The sequence below is a fragment of the Homo sapiens genome, chromosome 18 (assembly GCF_000001405.40).
Source record: "Homo sapiens chromosome 18, GRCh38.p14 Primary Assembly".
NCBI classification, from domain to species: Eukaryota; Metazoa; Chordata; class Mammalia; order Primates; family Hominidae; genus Homo; species Homo sapiens.
The window spans coordinates 42,070,495-42,089,291 of NC_000018.10; the positions used below are offsets into that span (position 1 = coordinate 42,070,495).

At 36.6% G+C, this 18,797-nt stretch overlaps 1 protein-coding gene across 3 annotated transcripts in view; it reads left to right on the forward strand.

The window, feature by feature from the left end:
* PIK3C3 (phosphatidylinositol 3-kinase catalytic subunit type 3) overlaps nucleotides 1–17,336 on the forward strand; it is a 132,597-nt gene extending 115,261 nt beyond the window's left edge. For all 3 annotated transcript variants that reach the window (NM_002647.4, NM_001308020.2, XM_047437550.1), the window contains one exon: nucleotides 10,629–17,336. In NM_002647.4, the coding sequence (NP_002638.2) occupies nucleotides 10,629–10,643 (15 nt within the window). In that variant the 3' untranslated portion in view covers nucleotides 10,644–17,336. The remainder of the gene's footprint in view (nucleotides 1–10,628) is intronic.
* Nucleotides 17,337–18,797: the final 1,461 nt, after the last annotated feature.

The window sequence follows — 18,797 nt, forward strand, 5'->3', positions numbered from 1 at the left end:
TCTCTTTATTAAAAATGGAGGAGAAAAAGAGGTTGATAAAAAGTAGTAGTTTTTAGGGGGCCATAGTATTATTTAGGGGAGCTAGTAATAGAAGGACTTTGGTTTACCAAAGTCTCTGGGCCTCAGTTTTCACACCTATAAAGTGATTGACATTGAGGTTAAAACATCTGTTTTTGATATAAATTTAATATAATGTCAAAGGTTAATTGCTTTATAAAGCTAATGTTGACTACTGCAAGGGTTGGTAAATGAAATCTGCCTCTCCCCTCTCCCCATCTTAGGGATGGTTACATTGTGAAAGTTGCTGAGAGCTCTTTGAGTTATTGGCGTGTACCTATTCTTCTATTCATAGAGAAAATAAAATATGAATGGCAAAACGAATTGGTAAAATTGCAGTGGGCATGCTCTTAAATTAGGGAGGGATCATTTTATACACATTAACAGATTATTATAATTCTTGAGAAGAAACATTAAGTCTGTTTCCTAGGTTCCTGTTTTCTAGTTCTTCATTACAATAGTAGATACGATGTAGAAATCCTGTAATTAACATTACTTTAGCCTTGGTTGTTACAGGCTCTTTTGGACTAGGATAGATTGTTGATAACCTTGATAATCAAAGTTACTGCCACATGAAAATAAGAGTTAAGAACAAATATTTGAATTATTCTAACAGTCTAAGGATCACCATCTTAGATTTGTAAAACTGGAGGTTTATTGCAGCATGAATATGTAGATGAACTTTTTAAATATCATTTCTTAGCTCTCCAGTTTACAGTGATGGACAGTGTTTGGGACAATAACAGCTTCAACATTTATTGGAATGTATTTCATACAATGCTTCCCATTTTTAATTAAATAACCATTACTGTGATAATACAAGTATGTTTTAGTGTTATCCCTATTTTATAGATGAGAAAACTGAACCACATAAAAAGTTGTTTTCAGCCTGGCTCAGTGGCTCATGCCTGTAATCCCAGCACTTTGCAAGGCCAAGGCAGGCGAATCACATGAGGTCAGGAGTTTGACACCAGCCTGACCAACATGGTGAAACCCTGTCTCTACTAAAAATACAAAAATTAGCCAGACGTGGTGGCGGGCACCTGTAATCCCAGCTAGTCGGGAGGCTGAGGCAGGAGAATCACTTGAACCCAGGAGGCAGAGGTTGCAGTGAGCCAAGATCACTCCACTGCCCTCCAGCCTGGGCAACAGAGTGAGATTCTGTCTCAAAAAAAAAAAAAAAATTAATAAAATAAAAGAAAACTTAGTTAGTTGTTCTAACTTATCAGACAGATTCAGTTCTTTTTTACCAGAATTTCATACTCTTTATCCTAAGGGATGAACTTAAAAATGTTTGTGATATTTCTTAGATTTCCTTAAATATATAATTTGTGCTCCAAAATAAGGGTTACCTATGGATGTTTAATTTTACTGGAACTTGTTTAGGCACTGAAGCATACATGGGATGCTAAATAAGGTCTTAGCTTCATACAAATCTTTTCAAATAACAATTATAAAAGCATAGTTGTTTCTTAATTGATCTCTGGAGTTTATTTTCTCTTTGAAACTCACTTGTCTACATATATTGTCTAAGTATTGATACTAATAAATCACATAGGCATTCAAATTCAGATGACTGGCATCTATTTTTTTGTCACTTGTAGTCATCTATTATAATGATGCAATATTGTTAATCGATTTATGGTAATTTTAGTACATTCCCATTAATCATTGTGGATAGTAGAACCAACTTTTTAAAAAATGGGAGTAGATTAATACATGCTTAAAGAATTACAGATATTTCAGCATAAAAGAAACAACATTCAAAAAGAAGACTAAGAGTTACTAGATACAACTATTATATCCAAATGCTACAAAAGCTTGTTTTCTTTCATCATGCAATTCCTTAGGAAGGGTAGAGATTAAACACTGCAATATTTGTTTCCTAGCAACACCCACATATTAGTGATACAAATTTTCCACTGGAAAACAATTTTATTTTGGTCATTGTCTTTGAAATTGCATCATTGTAACCCTTCTCTATGCCAAAATGATCTTTTTTGGCATCTTGTTCTGTCGCCCCCCACTGGAGTGCAGTGGTACAATAATGGTTCACTGCAGCCTTGACCTCCTGGGCTTGAGTGATCCTCCTGCCTCAGCCTCCCTGGTAGCTAGGAGTACAGGCATGCACCACCATACCCAGCTAATTTTTAATTTATTTTTTTGTAGAGATGAGGTCCGACTATGTTGCCCAAGCGGTTCTCAAACTCCTGGCCTCAAGCAATCCTCCTGCCTCGGCCTTTTGAGTGCTGGGATTACAAGCACGAGCCACCATGTCTGGCCTTGAAGTGATCTTTACAGTGCTTTCGAGGGTTGTATACGTGGGAAAGATAGAGGTCATATAGTTTGGGTCATGTACAGTTGCACAAGTAGGCCTTTCACTGGTGATCTCTTACACTGCAGTCCATTTCCTGTTTCTGCTTCTCCCTGTCATCCTTTCTTTTCATTTATGGTAGTAAAAATCTTGAGAAAGGGGTGTGTTTTCCAGTAATGTTAATACATACTAAATCTAATTAATTAAATCTTGGCAGATTAACTAGAGACAGAGGTTTTTGTTTTTCAGAATGACTGTAAAAAAATAAATAACCAATAGATTGGGTTCAGAAGGTTCAGAAGTTCCAGCTCAAGATACTAGGAACATAGCACTGCTGTCCATTTAAAGGGAATCCTTACTCATCACTTGCAGTGTTCAAGGAGGAAAAGCACACGTCTAGGCAGAGAGACACCTGATTCTATAGTCACTTATTCTTAAGTTAGAGACCAGTTGCCTTTAGCTTAAGGGAATTCAACTGTGATATATTTGGGTGGATTTCAAAACAAAAGAAACAAAAAAAATGGAAGGAGGAAAATGGTGTGGTTATTCTGCTTGAATTTCCCCTAAAGAATACCTGTCCTCTAAGGAATGTGACAGTGGCTCTCTCAAAAGTGTTTCAGTTATCAAGTGCCTCTCATGCATAACATGGCATCTTACTACGCTGAAGGTGATCCCAAAATTGAAAATTCTGAGTGTTTGGTATTTATATCACAGTTTCTAAGTGCAAACCAGTTGCTGCTTAACCAGAGAAACAGGGTTTTCTTGTGTCATTGCTGAGGGAAAAGCTTCTGATTTTGGACTTTTTAAGAGATACATGTCTCTTATGTGCTGCCTCCTCAAGGGCTTTTCTTGAGTAATTTTTTTTTTTTTAATTTGTATTCCTGTTTTTCCTTTCTATGTTGACTTTAGCACCTAAACCCAGTGTAGAGTGATTTCACTTTATTTGCTGTCCTCTTTCATCTTCTTTAAGAAGGCAACCTTCTAGGTCAGTGAGTGAGTCTCTTGGTTTTCAGAATTGGGAACTAAGACCATTCAAGCCCATTTCTCCTTGTATTTCTCTAGGTAAAGTACAAGCATTTTCTGTGTTCAGAGTATGTATAAAAACATTTACCTTAGGTTTATGTGTATATTCACAGCACCTTTGACAGTTAAGAGATCAGTACTTGTGCTGGTGTTAACTCTTCCATTTTTTAGTTACTTGAAAGTCGCTCTTTCCTGGGTCAGTGGAATTTTGTTTTTGTTTTTAAGCTTTTGAATAGTAAATGTAACAATAGTAAATGTTTAGATATACTTACAACCCTAGTCTGTTAGTCTTAAATATACCATAATGTGTTTTCATTTGATGAACTTTGTTTGAAATTTGATCTTACATGATACATTAGCAAAGCTAGTTCTGTTTTAGGACCATACATAGCTAATACTCTTTTTGGAAAAGGAGAACTATCACACACAGGAATTTTTGTTTATGTTTTTTTTCTTTAATTTATTTAAAGTCCTTACTCCCAGACTTGTAGTATAATTTTGGGTCTTGATTTCAGGTGAACAGATAAGTAGAAAATAAACTATATCTTAATTCTTTAATGAGAATGTACTCTCCTTTAACAAACATGTAATTGGCTTTAATAATAAAAATGTTGATAAAACTCTAATTCATGAATTTATTATTTCCTGCTGTAAATATTAAGTGGCATTTAGTATTTAGTTGTGAAACCGATACATAAGTATGTAGCTGCAAAACAAACTATTGCAGGTTTAAAGCATTACTAGTACTCGTATGTTAAATATAAGTACAGATCTTTTTATATGTGTGTTTTGTTTTTATAGCATTACTTTATTCATACTAACTTTCCATTTTTTTTCTTTTGGTGACCCACTTTTGCCTCATATTCTCTCTTTGTACTTTTTGAAACTTCCCTTTTTATGTAAATTGACCACTAACACTGAATTCCGTTTTGCAAATTGAAGCTCTTTACCCTTTCATGTTCCCTCATACGTGCCAGACTAGAGAACATGGGATGCTCTCTAGTTTTAAATTGTGTTTTACTTAAGTACCTACTCATACTTCCCATGAGGTTGAAAGCCGTGTAGCCTTGAGTACTCAAATAGCCATGTACAAAGGTAAAAAGTTCATATCACTCAGTATATGTAATTCATATAGTCTCCCTTTATATTTAGTTCTTCTTATTTTACCACTTTAAACAAGTGTGACTCTTTTTATAATAACTAAAATTTGTTTGGAACATCAGGTTTTATCCTACTTTATGGATGCAAAATTGTGACCTAAAAAGAAGAGAAAAATCATCATTTCTGAGTTTCCATTTTTAGGGACCTAATTTTATCATTAGGAATGAAGAATAGCAGTGTAAAATATTTCAGTGAACAAAACAAAAAGTATTGATTTGGGGGTCAAATAGAAATCCTTTTAATCTAAAACAAATTATTTTTAATTTAGTAATTAATTTTCTAAAGAATGAGATGATTCCCTTACCAGTGGCTTAAGTAAATAATGTAACACCAATATATCACACACAGCTTTTTTTCATTCTGTCTCCCAGATCTAATTTATTTGAATTTTTCTTGGCAGAAATAACAACAACAGGAAAAATCATTAATAGCAAAGTATTGAACATTTAAATGTGCCAGGAATTATGTAAAGTTCTTTCTCTGTATCAACTCTTAATTCTCACACCTGTGAAGTAAGTGTACTACAAGTTATGTATTTACAGATGAGAAAACTAAGGTTAATAGATGACAAAGCCCAGATTCAAACTCAAAATATTTTGAGTCCCAGATCTAGTCCTATATTTATAAGTAATAATATGTATATAAATACATAATATACATTTATATATATGTATTTTTATATAAATGTTTATATATAAGATATTTAGTAACTAGTGACTATTTCCAGTCACCAGCTGCATTAGCCCTTACCAAGAAAGTCAGCCTGTCCTTTGAAGCCAGACTTTGACTTCTCTGTAGCATGAAAGTCCTCTGTGGCATCTTATTCCATTAGAAAGCTGTTTCATCTGCACTGAAAATCTGTTCTCTAGTGTAGTCACCTTCATCAGTGATCTTAGCTAGATTGTAGATAACCCGTGTGCAGTTCTTCCATCAGTACTGAAAATCTGTTCTCTAGTGTAGTCACCTTCATCAGTGATCTTAGCTAGATGGTAGATAACCCGTGTGCAGTTTCTCCATCAGCACTGGCTGCTTTACCTTGCATATATATATATATATATATATATATATATATGCGCATATATATATATATATATGCGCATATATATATATATGCACATATATATATATGCACATATATATATGCACACATATATATATGCACATATATATATGCATATATATATTACATATTCATACACATACACACATACATACATATATCAAAGTCTTAATTTAGAGACCTGAATAGCTTTTGTTGTGAGTAGTGAGTTTTTAAAATTTTACTTGTAAATTTAAATTATCTTTTAACTTTTCTTAATCTTTCACCTACCCATCAAAGAAAAAAACGTTAGCTGTGTAAACAGACAAGTAAGTGTGATATATAAAGGAGTCGCCAGGAGCTGTTAATCCAAGATAAATAGGATAAATGTGGGATAACATTTATTTTGCACATTGGCCAAAACTAGTCTTGAATTTCATTGACCCACCTGTGCTCTCTTGTTCCACTGCAGTCAGCATTGCTGCACAACTACCCATTAAAACACATGATATTTAAAAAACAAAGAATACAGGCACTTGCTATATGACAAATGTTTGCAGCTTGTAAGATTAGTTAATTATTGTAATAGCAAGAGTCAGCAGAATGCCCCATAATTTTCAGCCCAAATGCCTTGCAGTTTATTTCTCATTCATACAAATTTAATTTTCTTATCTTCTCCAAAGAAGATTTTTAAACACTTGAATGTCATCCTTGATAGGGTTTGCCATGTTTGCTTCATTAACTGCTTTTAGTAAGGTTAGTTTTATACTGTTGTTTTCTTTCCCTCTGTGTTCTGTCAAAACCTTTTATAAAAATTCTTCAAATGTACAGTAGTTGAATATTTTGGGACTGTCTCTGCTATATGTTTTTTATTTTTATTTTTTTCCTAAAGACACAGACATTTCAAAGTATTTGGGAAAAAGAAGGCATACCTTAAAGATTTTTTGATCTGAAGTCCAGACCACTGCAATAAATGACTTTTTTGTTTTCCCAGTGCATATAAAAGTTATGTTTACATGATACTATGCAGTAGCATTATGTCTTTAAAAACTATGTGCCTATCTTAAAAATATTGCTAAAAAATGCTTAACAATCATCTGAGCTTTCAGTGAGTTGTAATCTTTTTGCTGGTGGAGGGTCTTGCCTTGATGTTGATAGCTGCTGATCAGGGTGGTGGTTGCTAAAGGTTGAGTAGTTGTAAATCTGTGAAGTTTGCCACATCAGTTGATTCTTCCTTTCACAAAAGATCTCTCTGTAGCATGTGATGCTGTTTGATAGCATTTTGCCCAGAGTAGAACTTTTTGCAGAATTGGAGTCAACCCTTTCAAAACTTGCTGTTGCTTTATCAACTAAATTTATGGAATATTCTAAATCCTTTGTTGTCATTTCAACAATGTTCAAAGCATCTTCACCATGAATTGATTCCATCTCAAGAAACCACTTTGCTTATCCAGAAGGAGGAACTCCTCATCTGCTCAAGTTTTATCATGAGACTGCAGCAATTCAGTCACATATTCAGGCTCCACTTCTAATTCTTGTTCTCTTGTAGTTTCCACCACATCTGCAATTACTTCCTCTACTGAACTCTTGAACCCCTCAAAGTCATCCATGAAGAATGGAATCAACTTCTTCCGAACTCCTATTAATGTTGATATTTTCACCTCCTCCTATGAATCTCAAATGTTCTCAATGGCATCTAGAATGGTGAATCCTTTCCAGTAGGTTTTCAATTTGTTTTGCTGAGATCCATCAGAGGAATTACTATCTGTGGCAGCTATAGCCTTACGAAATGTATTTCTTAAATAATAGGACTTGAAAGTAGAGTAACTCCATGATCCATGGGCTGTAGAATGGATGTTGAATTAGCAGGCATTAAAACAACATTAATCTTTTGGTATATTCCATCAGAGCTCTTGGATGACTGGGTACATTGTCAATGAACAATATTTTGAATCTTTTTTTCTGAGCAGTAGGCTTCAACAGTGGGCTTAAAATTTTCAGTAAACCGGCCGGGCGCGGTGGCTCACGCCTGTAATCCCAGCACTTTGGGAGGCCGAGGCGGGTGGATCATGAGGTCAGGAGATCGAGACCATCCTGGCTAACAAGGTGAAACCCCGTCTCTACTAAAAATACAAAAAATTAGCCGGGTGCGGTGGCGGGCGCCTGTAGTCCCAGCTACTCGGGAGGCTGAGGCAGGAGAATGGCGTGAACCCGGGAAGCGGAGCTTGCAGTGAGCCGAGATTGCGCCACTGCAGTCCGCAGTCCGGCCTGGGCAACAGAGCGAGACTCTGTCTCAAAAAAAAAAAAAAAAAAAAAAAAAATTTTCAGTAAACCATATTATAAACAAATATGATATCATCCAAGCTACTGTTTCATTTGTAGATCAAAGGCAGAGTAGATTTAACATAATTCTTAGGGGCCCTAGGATTTTCAGAGTGGTAAATGAACATTGACATCAACTAAGTCACCAGCTGCATTAGCCCCTACCAAGAAAGTCAGCCTGTTTTGAAGCTTTGAATCCAGACATTGACTTCCCTGTAGCGTGAAAGTCCTATGTGGCATCTTATTCATTAGAAGCCTGTTTCATCTGCATTGAAAACCTGTTACTTAGTCACCTTCATCAATGATCTTAGCTAAATGGTAGATAACTTGTGTGCAGTTTCTTTATCAGCACTGGCTGCTTTACCTTGCACTTCTATGTTATGGAGATAGCTTCTTTCTTTAAACCTCATCAACCAACCTCTGCTACCTTTAGACTTCTCTTCTGCAACTTCCTCATCTTTCTCAGCCTTTATAGAATTGAAGACAGTTAAGGCCTTGCTCTGCATTAGGCTTTGGCTTATGGGGATGTTGTAGCTGGTTTGGGCTTCTATCCAGACCACAAAAACTTCCTCCATATCAGCAATAAAGCTGTTTTGCTCTCATCATTCGTGTATTCACTAGAGTAGCATTTTAATTTCCTTCAAGAACATTTCTTTGCATTTAAAACTTGGCTCTTTGATGCGAGAGTCTTAACTTTTGGCCTATCTGAGCTTTTGATATGCCTTTCTCACTAGGCTTAATCATTTCTAGGTTTTAATATAAAGCCAGAGATATGCGACTCTTCCCTTTCACTTGATCACCTAGAGGCCCTGATAGCGTTCTTAATTGGCCTAATTTCCATATTGTTGTGTCTTAGGGAGGCTTAAAGAGAAGAAGAGAGATAGGGGAATGGCCAGTTGGTGGAGTAGTCAGAACACATGTAATATTTATCAATTAAGTTTGCCATCTTATGCAGACACGGTTCGTGGTGCCCCAAAACATTTACAATAGTGATAACGAAGATCGCTGATCATAGATCACCATAGCAGGTGGAATAGTAATGAAAAATTTTGAAATATTATGAGAATTACCAAACTATGACACAGAGACACAAAGTGAACATAAGCTGTTGGAAAAAATGGCTCTGATAGACTTGCGCAAGCAGAGTTGCCACAGGCTTTCAATTTGTTAAAAAAAAACAAAACAAAACAGTATCTGTGAGGTGCAGTAAAGCTAAGCACAATAAAACAAGGTATGCTGGTATATTAGAGACCTTTGGTTCAATAGCAACATTTTTGTCATACATAGACGCATACACGTGTACATATGCAGTTTTTCATTGCGTCCAAATTACTTCCAAGTTATTTAGACTCCCTCGTATGTTAGTGTAGACCCTTTGCAGTTTGGCTTTTACCTGCACTTTCAACCCTTATCATCTTCAAAAGCCTTCAAAAAGAACCTTCTTTGTAGCTCTGTTGATTCACCGCCGCTACCTCCAGGCAACACACCTCTTCTCTTTGCATGGAATGAGTTCCCTCTTATTTCCCCAACTTTTGAGTGTGTGTGTGTGTGTGTGTGTGTGTGTGTGTGTGTGTATGTAAGAGAGAGAGTGTGTGTGTGTGTGTGTGTGTGTGTGTGTATGATTCTGTCTATATTAATTTGGTCCTCGGGCATTTTGTCTTAATTTGAGATCTCCCACAGAATCTGAGACACTTCCTGGCACATAGTAGGCACCAAATAAACATATGTGGTTTTATATGAGTGCCGAGTACCATTTCTTTAGGAAGTTTATTTTCTCTGATAATTGCCTTTAGTAAAAATATTTAAATTGCTTCTTAAATTCTAAATTACATTATTTTTATTCACATGAAAAATAAATCTTGCCAATTTTTTTCTAGAGTGACACTTTAAAATGTGTCAGATTAAAAGCCATCAACATCTTGGCATTTTTCACATTTGTACATGTACACATGCATGTGCACACACACACAGACACACTTGTCAGCAAGGTGTTTTGCCTTCACTTTTTCTCTGAGTAATAATGAAGTGAAGGTCTTAGAAACAGAATTCATGTAAGCAGCATTCATAATTCCTCCAAGAGAATGCCAGTATATTTGTATCAAACAAAAAGGGCACGAGTTATGGATGACTCAGTGTATATTCAGCCAAACAAAGAAATCTTCGTTGATTTTATTCCTACTGGGGATATCTCAGTATTGAACACCATTAATAGTGTTGGCCCCAAAACAGCTCTTCACTAGGCCTCTCGACTTCTTCCTTTGATTTGATTTCCAGACCATTTCTGGAATGAAGTAGTTGCACTCTCTGGGATAAGCTACAGGTTTTCACAGCCTCTCAAAATGTGGCACCAAGAACCAAGCACACTACTCAAAATCACTTTATCTAAATCACTTTAGAATTCAGTGGAATTTTTGCCTTCCTAGTGCTGGATGAGATGATTTTTGCTTGTCTCGTGTTAATTACATTCATCTTGAGCTTACAGTCAGCAGACACCCTCTCCTTGAATTATTTTCTCATATAAACTGATTTTTAAGTGAAGCCTCAGGAATCCTATACAGTATAGTTAATTGCAATCCTCTTGGTAGCATTTAGCAAACTAATTAATGCACTTTTTATTTTATTAGTAGTCTTTTTTAAAACTATAGACTATTGTTTATCTTTGTGAATAATTAAGTAAATTATTTTCTGTTTATTTCTTTTTAATTTTTGTAGTACTGGAGAAAATGAAACTGGGATTGACCCATCAAGATGCTTGGCTCAATAAGAAAACCACGTTAGGAGCAACCTTTGTATATTGGAGACTTCAGAGTAACCAGCAAGGAAGAGAAATCTTAATCTTCAAGTTACCATATTTTCCAAATATTACATGGTACCTGAGTTCTGCTTCCTTGGATGTCATTGCTTAAATATAGTCTTGAAGGGCTTGTTTTGAAATATTGTATATATTTTTTCAAATGTATACATTGTTAATAAATTAAGAAATGAGAAACATTCTTATTTATGTACATGTTATGAGAGTTCTGGAGGAAGTAATATGTTGAAATAGTAAAACATTTTAGTTTTTGAGTTTAAAATGTTATTTTTTCCTCTTATATCTTCATATCAGGACAGCAGTAACCTGAATTTAGATTGTCACAGTTTACAAGTTTTTGTTTGTTCCTTCTTTCCTCTCTCTTCTCCCACTCACTTTTGTGTGTTGTTTGTTTTTGCCTAATTTACATGTTTAAAGTTCTACTTAAAATTTTTCTTCAAGTTTTACATGTGATGGCTCATTCTTCTGCAGTTCAAGAATTGCTTATATTTTTAGAAGATACTCATTTTCTCTTACAAATAATTAATTTTTTGTAAACTACAGTTAATAGTTCTTCTAGCTTGTAAGTGTGTAAAGTAGAATATGAAAATGTGGCTATTTAGATAACTGGCCAAAAGGTCATATGACCACCAGTTTTAGTATTGAGCATAAGATATTTTTACATATTCATGTAAGACAATGTAAATTGTCTTTCTGCAATAAATTTTTTGGATGCAAATTTAGATTTCAAAAGCTTTTTGATGTTATAAAGGAGTTGAGGAACAAAAAGCTCTTTGAAATAGCTCACCTAGACCTGTTAATGTAATATATTCTTTCTGAATTAAGCAAAATTTTTTTTGTCTTTTAAGACTAGAACTAATCCCTCTAGCTTTTTTACTGGAACTTTGGGGAAAAAGAACAAATACAAATATACAAATGATATGAACAATATGGTAATAATCTTTTGCAACTTAATATGTTACATAGTCATATGACTTGGTCTTGGAAGAAAAAGAATTGTTTTGGTGCTGAATAAATATTAGAAATCAAGTGACAGAGAAGATGAAGGTAAAATTGTGGCACAGTTTCAGAGAATGCCGTTAATGATAACGTGTTATTTGTCTCAAATTCTTAGCCCTGGGCTTGCCTCTTCAGAGTGGGGTTACCGGCGAGAGGGCAAGCATGTAATTAAGAGACACTCTAGAGGCATATGGAATATAGTTTGTATAAAACATACCTGCTGATTAGAAAAATGGTAAAAATGAAAATACCTTTGTACATCATCTTAAGAGAGCTTATATATAAACTAAATGGGCAGGCTCCATCGTCTACCTTTCTTTTTCTTTTCTTCACATGTTTATGTCTTTTTTGTTATTAGTCAGACATTTTTAGCCCTCTGTATGCTCATTCTTGTAGTTCTATTTCTATTGAAACTTCCTCCAAAACTTTTCTCTGAATTACCCTTGTTGAAACTGACCTTTCTTCCGTGTGAACTCCTACACTTGCATCTCCTATTTCAGGATTTGGCATACTTTTTCTTTAATGGGCTAAGAAAGTAAATATCTTCAGCTTTGGGGGGCATATGATCCCAATAGCATCAACTTAACTCTGCTAACTGGAAGGCAAAAGTGTATCATCTTACTCGTCTTTATAAACTCCACAGCACTCTGCATAGATATGACCATGTTTATAAGGAACTCAATAAATAATTTTGACACAAACATGAAATTCTAGAAGGGCAGACACTGACAACTAGTAAGGAAGTTGATCATGAGTAACTTTGTATTCAGTGCCACCTTAACAAGAATTGTAAAGAGGATAAACCTTTCTAGGAAGGTTGATGCGTGTTGGGTGAGGAAGGAGCATCTCTCAGGAGGGTAAACAGTAGCTGTGGTTTTGCTGAGAGATTTTGGCTGTGAGTGACAAGCCTATATCAAAAAGAAAAGTGGCTTATCAATCTCAGTTTTTATTGCTCAAAGCAATTCTTTACTCCTATTTTTTCCAAATTCCATTGTTTTTACTCTTTAGAGCTCTATCCTCAGAGTGTAGTCTGCATATTTCTTTATTATCATTGCCATGTGACTTCTTTGGTGACAAGTTCAGTGATATTTCAAGCATGATGTTTTGAGTTTGAGAAATGTATTTGTGAGGACACATCACTTTAATTAAAAAAGTGTGAGTACTATGGTCATTAAGTTATTCAGAGTGAGATTTCTGAGAGGAGAAGAGAGAATGTAGATGGCAGTTATTGAGAGTGGGGCTATAGGACAAAAAGAAGAAAAGTATGGTTAACATTGCCAAATAAAGGGTCATACAGCCTTGCTTTTTGCTGGAGTTAGCAAAAATCATTCTCCATATGATAGTTTTAGATGTTCCCCAGCTCATTTGTATTATTGAGTTTTCAGCTGGGTATATATTATAATAACAGTCAACATGATGTAGGGGCTCAGTATTACATGGCAGGGCTATACTAATTGCTTCATATGCCTTATCTCATTATTCTGTGAGATAGAATTGTCTCCTCATTTTTTAGTTGAAATAACTGAAGTTTAAAGCAATTGAATCATCTGCCCAAGGATAAGCTGCTGGTGAGAGCAGAGTTGGGATTTGAAGTCGAGTTAGACCCCAGTGATCACAGTCTTGACGATTAAATTCTTCCAGCTTTCATTTTTCACTGAGATAATGGTAGTGATAGTACTGACCTCTAATGTGTGCATTTGTGGGTATGTGGTCCATTCAGCTTTAATCCCCAGAAGACAAGGCTTATTCCTTTTCTTATTTTTGGTCATGTTTTATTTTTCCATTGCTTTTAACAGGATTACCAAAGGCACACTCAGTAGTCAGTAAACACATTTCTAGGAAAGGTGTTGTGTCATCATGCCACATATTCATACTTTCCTTGGGTTGGAAAATAGATCATTCAGTAAAAACATACAGGAAAAATGAATCTTGCCAATGCAATTGTTAACCTACAACCATAATATACCTTAAGTATATTTTTGCACATAAGTATAACATTGCGATTTAAAACAATAAACCAGATTGAGATTCTAAGGAGCATTTTGTAAGTAATTACTAATGTTTATTTTAGAGAGATCACACAACTTCAAATAAAAACTGACATAGATTGAACACCTTGAGAATAAACTTTAGTGCCAAATGGAAAATAATTTTTTACAAGTAAATTTGAAGAACAATGTGAACTTTCTATAATTATATACAGAAAATATACTGATTTGCCAAAATGAGTAATTTTGATATATTAATATTTCACTTATAAGAATGCATACCACCTGATCCAGGATGGGATCCAGGAACAGAAAAAGAACATTAGGTAAAAATGACAGAAATCTGAATATAGTATAGAGTAGCTAAAAACAAACCAAAAAAAAAAAAAAAAAAAAAGGAAAAACAGAATAAGCCTCAGAAGATAGTGAGCATCCCACCTGGGTGACCACTTAGAGAAGCTGAGGTGGGACCCCTGCATCCGATAAGTGGCTGCACTAGACCACAGGAACCAGACTCCACTGTAAGAACTAGAGTGGGAATGGACATGTCAAAACCTCCTGGGAACCTTATTAAATGTGCACATTCCCAATCCCCACTCCTGAGCAGCCAAATCAATCTGCAGGTGGGCCTTGTGAGTTTTCCCAGGGGATTCCGATGCCTGCTAGATTTAACCAGTAGATGAGATGTTAAGTTATCCTGTAGTCCAGAGATTCCACAGGCCAGTGTCAGGGAACAGGGGCCAGGGCTGGGAAGGCATAAGAACAGAAGATAAATTTGAGGCTCTGTTACGCTGGTCATCCAACCCAACCAGGTATCTCTTGTTATATGCTAACTTCATTTTCCCTTTCTTGTCCATAGTGGGAAAAAATAATTTTTAACTGGCTATGTAGTTAAAAAACCTAACAAAAAGCACTTTTCTATATAATGAGTGGTTTATATTAAGAATAGGTACAATGTAAATACTGGTAAGTGAAAGTTCATTTTGTTCAGTGCTATGGGCTGGTACATTGCATTTCAACACTAGTTTTTTACTTTTATCTACCCTGAGGGTAGATAACCCATATTCCAAAATACAGTATTATTTTCATTTGCTGTAACATTTTAAGAAATATGTAGTTTCTAAAACTTCATATACTTTATATGGAATATGAACAACTTTAATATGAATAAATAGTCTAGAAAAAAATTTAGGAAAAATTGCCATGAAATCATGAGCTAAGTCAATGGTTATTTTAAACCACTTAATTTTGAGACTAGTATTTCATACAGAAAAAGCTAATACTGATATCACACACTAATTGTGTATAAAACACTAGGAATGTCAAAATAGAACATAAGAAAATGAGTCTAGTGGACCCACTGCATAGTGTAACTTTGGGATGAATTTAAAAGAATATTTAAGTCACAGTCAATTTTCTGTTGGTCTAATTTTACCAAATAACCCCCTAAATAAGAAGTCTGATTTATCTAAAATAGAAGTTAACATAGCATCCCAGTATTGCCATTCTAAAACTCTGGCATGTAAATGGGAGAAATGGAAATAAGCTCAAAATGGGTAGAGTAACCCATTTCTGCATGAACCATAGAATTTAACTAGAATTTGGCTGGCTCATGCCTGTAATGCCAGCACTTTGGGAGGCCAAGGCAGGCAGATCACTTGAGCCCAGGAGTTTGAGACCAGCCCGGGCAACATGGTGAAACTCCATCTCTTCAAAAATATATATTTGTGTGTGTGTGTGTGTGTATGTGCGTGCACAAAAATTAGCTGAGTGTGGTGGTTCACACTTGTAATCACAGCTACCTGGGAGGCTGAGGCAGGAGGATTGCTTGAGCCTGGGAGGCAGAGGTTGCAGTGAGCTGAGATTGCACCATTGCACTGCAGCCTGGGTAATAGAGCGAGACAACTCTATCTCAAAAAAAAGAATTTCACTAGAATTTATATCTTCAGTGTTTGCATTAGATTGTCACCAGCACTATCTGCCTTGTGACTGTCAGGACTAATCCTTATATCATTTATCTTATGTCCTTTACCTCAGTTTATGTCTGTCACCACAAGAAACCCAGACCTCCCTAATCATACCATATGCCCTGGTCTTACCCACATACAGCTCGGTACAACTGCATTTCCCCAAACCTCAGAACTCCTTGGGCCATCACTGTCAGAGACATTTGAACTAGAGCAACTCCATCTTGAGTAGGGACTGGGTATAATGAAGCTGAGACCCACTGGGCTGCATTCCCAGGAAGTTAGGCATTCTTAGTCACAGGATGAGATAGGAGATTGGCTCAAGATAAGGTCACAAAGACCTTGCTGATAAAACAGTCTGTGGTAAAGAAGCCAGCCAAAACCCACCAAAACCAAGACGGGAATGAAAGTGACCTCCGGTCATCCTCACTGCTCATTATACGCTAGTTATAATGCATTGACATGCTAAGAGACACTCCCACCAGCACCATGACAGTTTACAAATGCCATAACAACATCAGGAAGTTACCCTATATGGTCTAAAAAGGGGAGGAACCCTCAGTTCTGAGAATTTCCTTGAAAATTCATGAATAATCCACCCCTTGTTTAGCATATGATCAAGAAATAATCATTAAAAAATAGCCAACCAGCAGCTCATGCTGCTGGTCTGCCTATGGAGTAGCCATCCTTTCTTTATTAACCTGCTTTCACTTTATGGACTCCCCTGAATTCTTCTGCAGGAGATCCAAGAACCCTCTCTTGGAGTCTTAACCAGGATCCCTTTCCAGTAACTTCAGCAGGATCTGTGAGTGCCAGTTTCCTTCTGTGGTGCAAAACTAGGTGCTAAGTACACTTTTTCCCCCCTTTCCTCTATTTTTAAAAGAACTTTCAGCCCTTTTGAAGTGGGTACATTGTCTGGAGTACATACCCTGGGGTTCATTGTTATAGGAGAATTTAGGACACAGACACACGAGGAGTTTAGGAGCAGAGGTTTAATAGGTAGAAGAGAAGGGAAAGAGAAACAGCTTCCTCTATAGATGTCTGCACTGACACCGTGGCTTTAAGGCATGGCCCATGATGTGTCTCCGAGTGGAAAAGACTGGTTGGTGGTGAATGCGCCAAATTTTATAGTCCGGTTTGAGGAGGTGGTTTCTGATTGGTTGCATCATGTATGACGTTTGCAAGGTGCATGTGGAAGGCTGGTCGCCCCACCCTAATCTTATGCAAATGGGCTTTCCAGTTGATTGGGTCCATCTTGTGTAACACGTGGCTGGCAGAGAAGGGAAGATGAAGCCACCATCTTGAAAATGTCTAGTCCTTAGTTTCTGCTGGCATTCACCCATGCAAGCTGCCAGCTTGTCTATGTCTGCAGCTCAACTTTACAGGCTGCTCTTTGTTAGCAAATGATTTGGAGCTTCTTTTCATTAAAGAAAAAAGCCTTACCGAGGACTCCCATACCCTTGCTTTCTGCTTAAGTGATTTCTTCTTAACTCCTATGTCAATTTTATACAGCATGAAATAATGATGTATCTATAAATGAGCCTTTGCAAGATTACCATTTATCAAAGAAAACCAGTGATGTTTAGTTAACTGTTTGTAAAAATAAATGGTTAGTAGAATGTCTAATTCAATAAATGTTTCATAAATGAGTAAATGAATGTTTTAATTTCAATAAGATTGATTCTTGATCAAACGTTCCCTTTTAAATCTAATTTTAAAAATCTGAGTTTGATTTTTTTAAAAAAGGTTAATATAACGTAGCATACAATACTGCAATTTCACTCCAGGTTATCTACCAAGAGAAATGAAAATATGCCCACATGAAGAGTTGCACACAAATGTTCTAAGCGTGATTCATAATAGCCAAAAAAAAGCGGAACAACTCCTGTGTCCATCAATTGGTGAAAGGCTAAAAATGATGTGATTTAGTCACACAATGGGATACTGTTCAGCATAAAAAGGGAACTCCACCTCCTCCCACTGCAACTGGAATAGCTGGTTCTGTGGAGGCTTCCACCCTGGCTGCAGCTTCCTCCTCACCTCCTCTTGGTCTTCACCTCAGATCCCCCTCGTCCACCTTCACCCATGCTGTGGTCACCAGCCCTGTGGCAACCTCCAAGCCTGGACATTTGCCTTCCCCTCTGGCACTGCTTTCCAGAGTCAGTTTTCCTCACATCTCTGCACTGACACCGTGCATACCTCCAGGCTTTAAGGCATGGCCCATGATGACCCTGAGGACCAGTACAGCCCAGGCTACTGCCCGGGAACACAAGTAGCCCAAAAAGCAATGGACTAGCCTGAGGCCCCGGGTGCTTGCTGGGCCACAGACACCCATAGACACTGAGTTCATCAACAGTTGGCCTGACTGCACCAGAACAAATCAAGTTTGCTAAGAAGACTCATGATCTTGAAAGAAACTGGGTGCCTTATTTAAGCCTCTGCAATGATTTGAGATGAAAATGACCAATTCAGAAAACTGTTGTGATAGTCTTATCGAGCAAAGGGGGCTTGCTGCCTGATGCATTAAAAGCAATACTGTGACACCAGGTTTTTGAGAAATGGAAAGCTTTATTTGAAGTCAACACCCAAGGAGACAGGAGTCAAGCTCAAATCTGTCTCCCTGTGCAGGCTTTAAGGTAGTAATTTTATTACAAAAGGTTTAGAGGATGGATACTGGCATTAGCAGGTGATTGGTGGTAGGGAAGAGGAGGCCTGCAAAGTCCTTGGGCATGTGCAGTTATCTCTTCATGGGTCCCATGTGCAAATTCAGGAAGAGTTAGTATAAACCATGTGGTGGAAATTTAGGCTGTGACATTAGCAAGCTTGTTCTGTACAAACTTTAGTTGGACATCCTGGTTCCAACTGATTTCAACCAGTTCTTTCGTCGCCTAAGCAAGGAAGTTTCTGTGTTTCAGCAAGTGGTTTCTTTTTCTATCTGCCATTCTACAAACTCAAAAATTTCTGTTAGTCATTGGTCTGTTTAACTCTTCGGGGTATTGTTTCAATTGACAAATAAAGCATGAGGCAAACATCAAGCAAGCAAAGTTTAAAGAAGAAAAAGGCTGGAGTAAAGGAAGATCCCAAAGAAATAACTGGGGCAAAGCTGAAGAAAAAG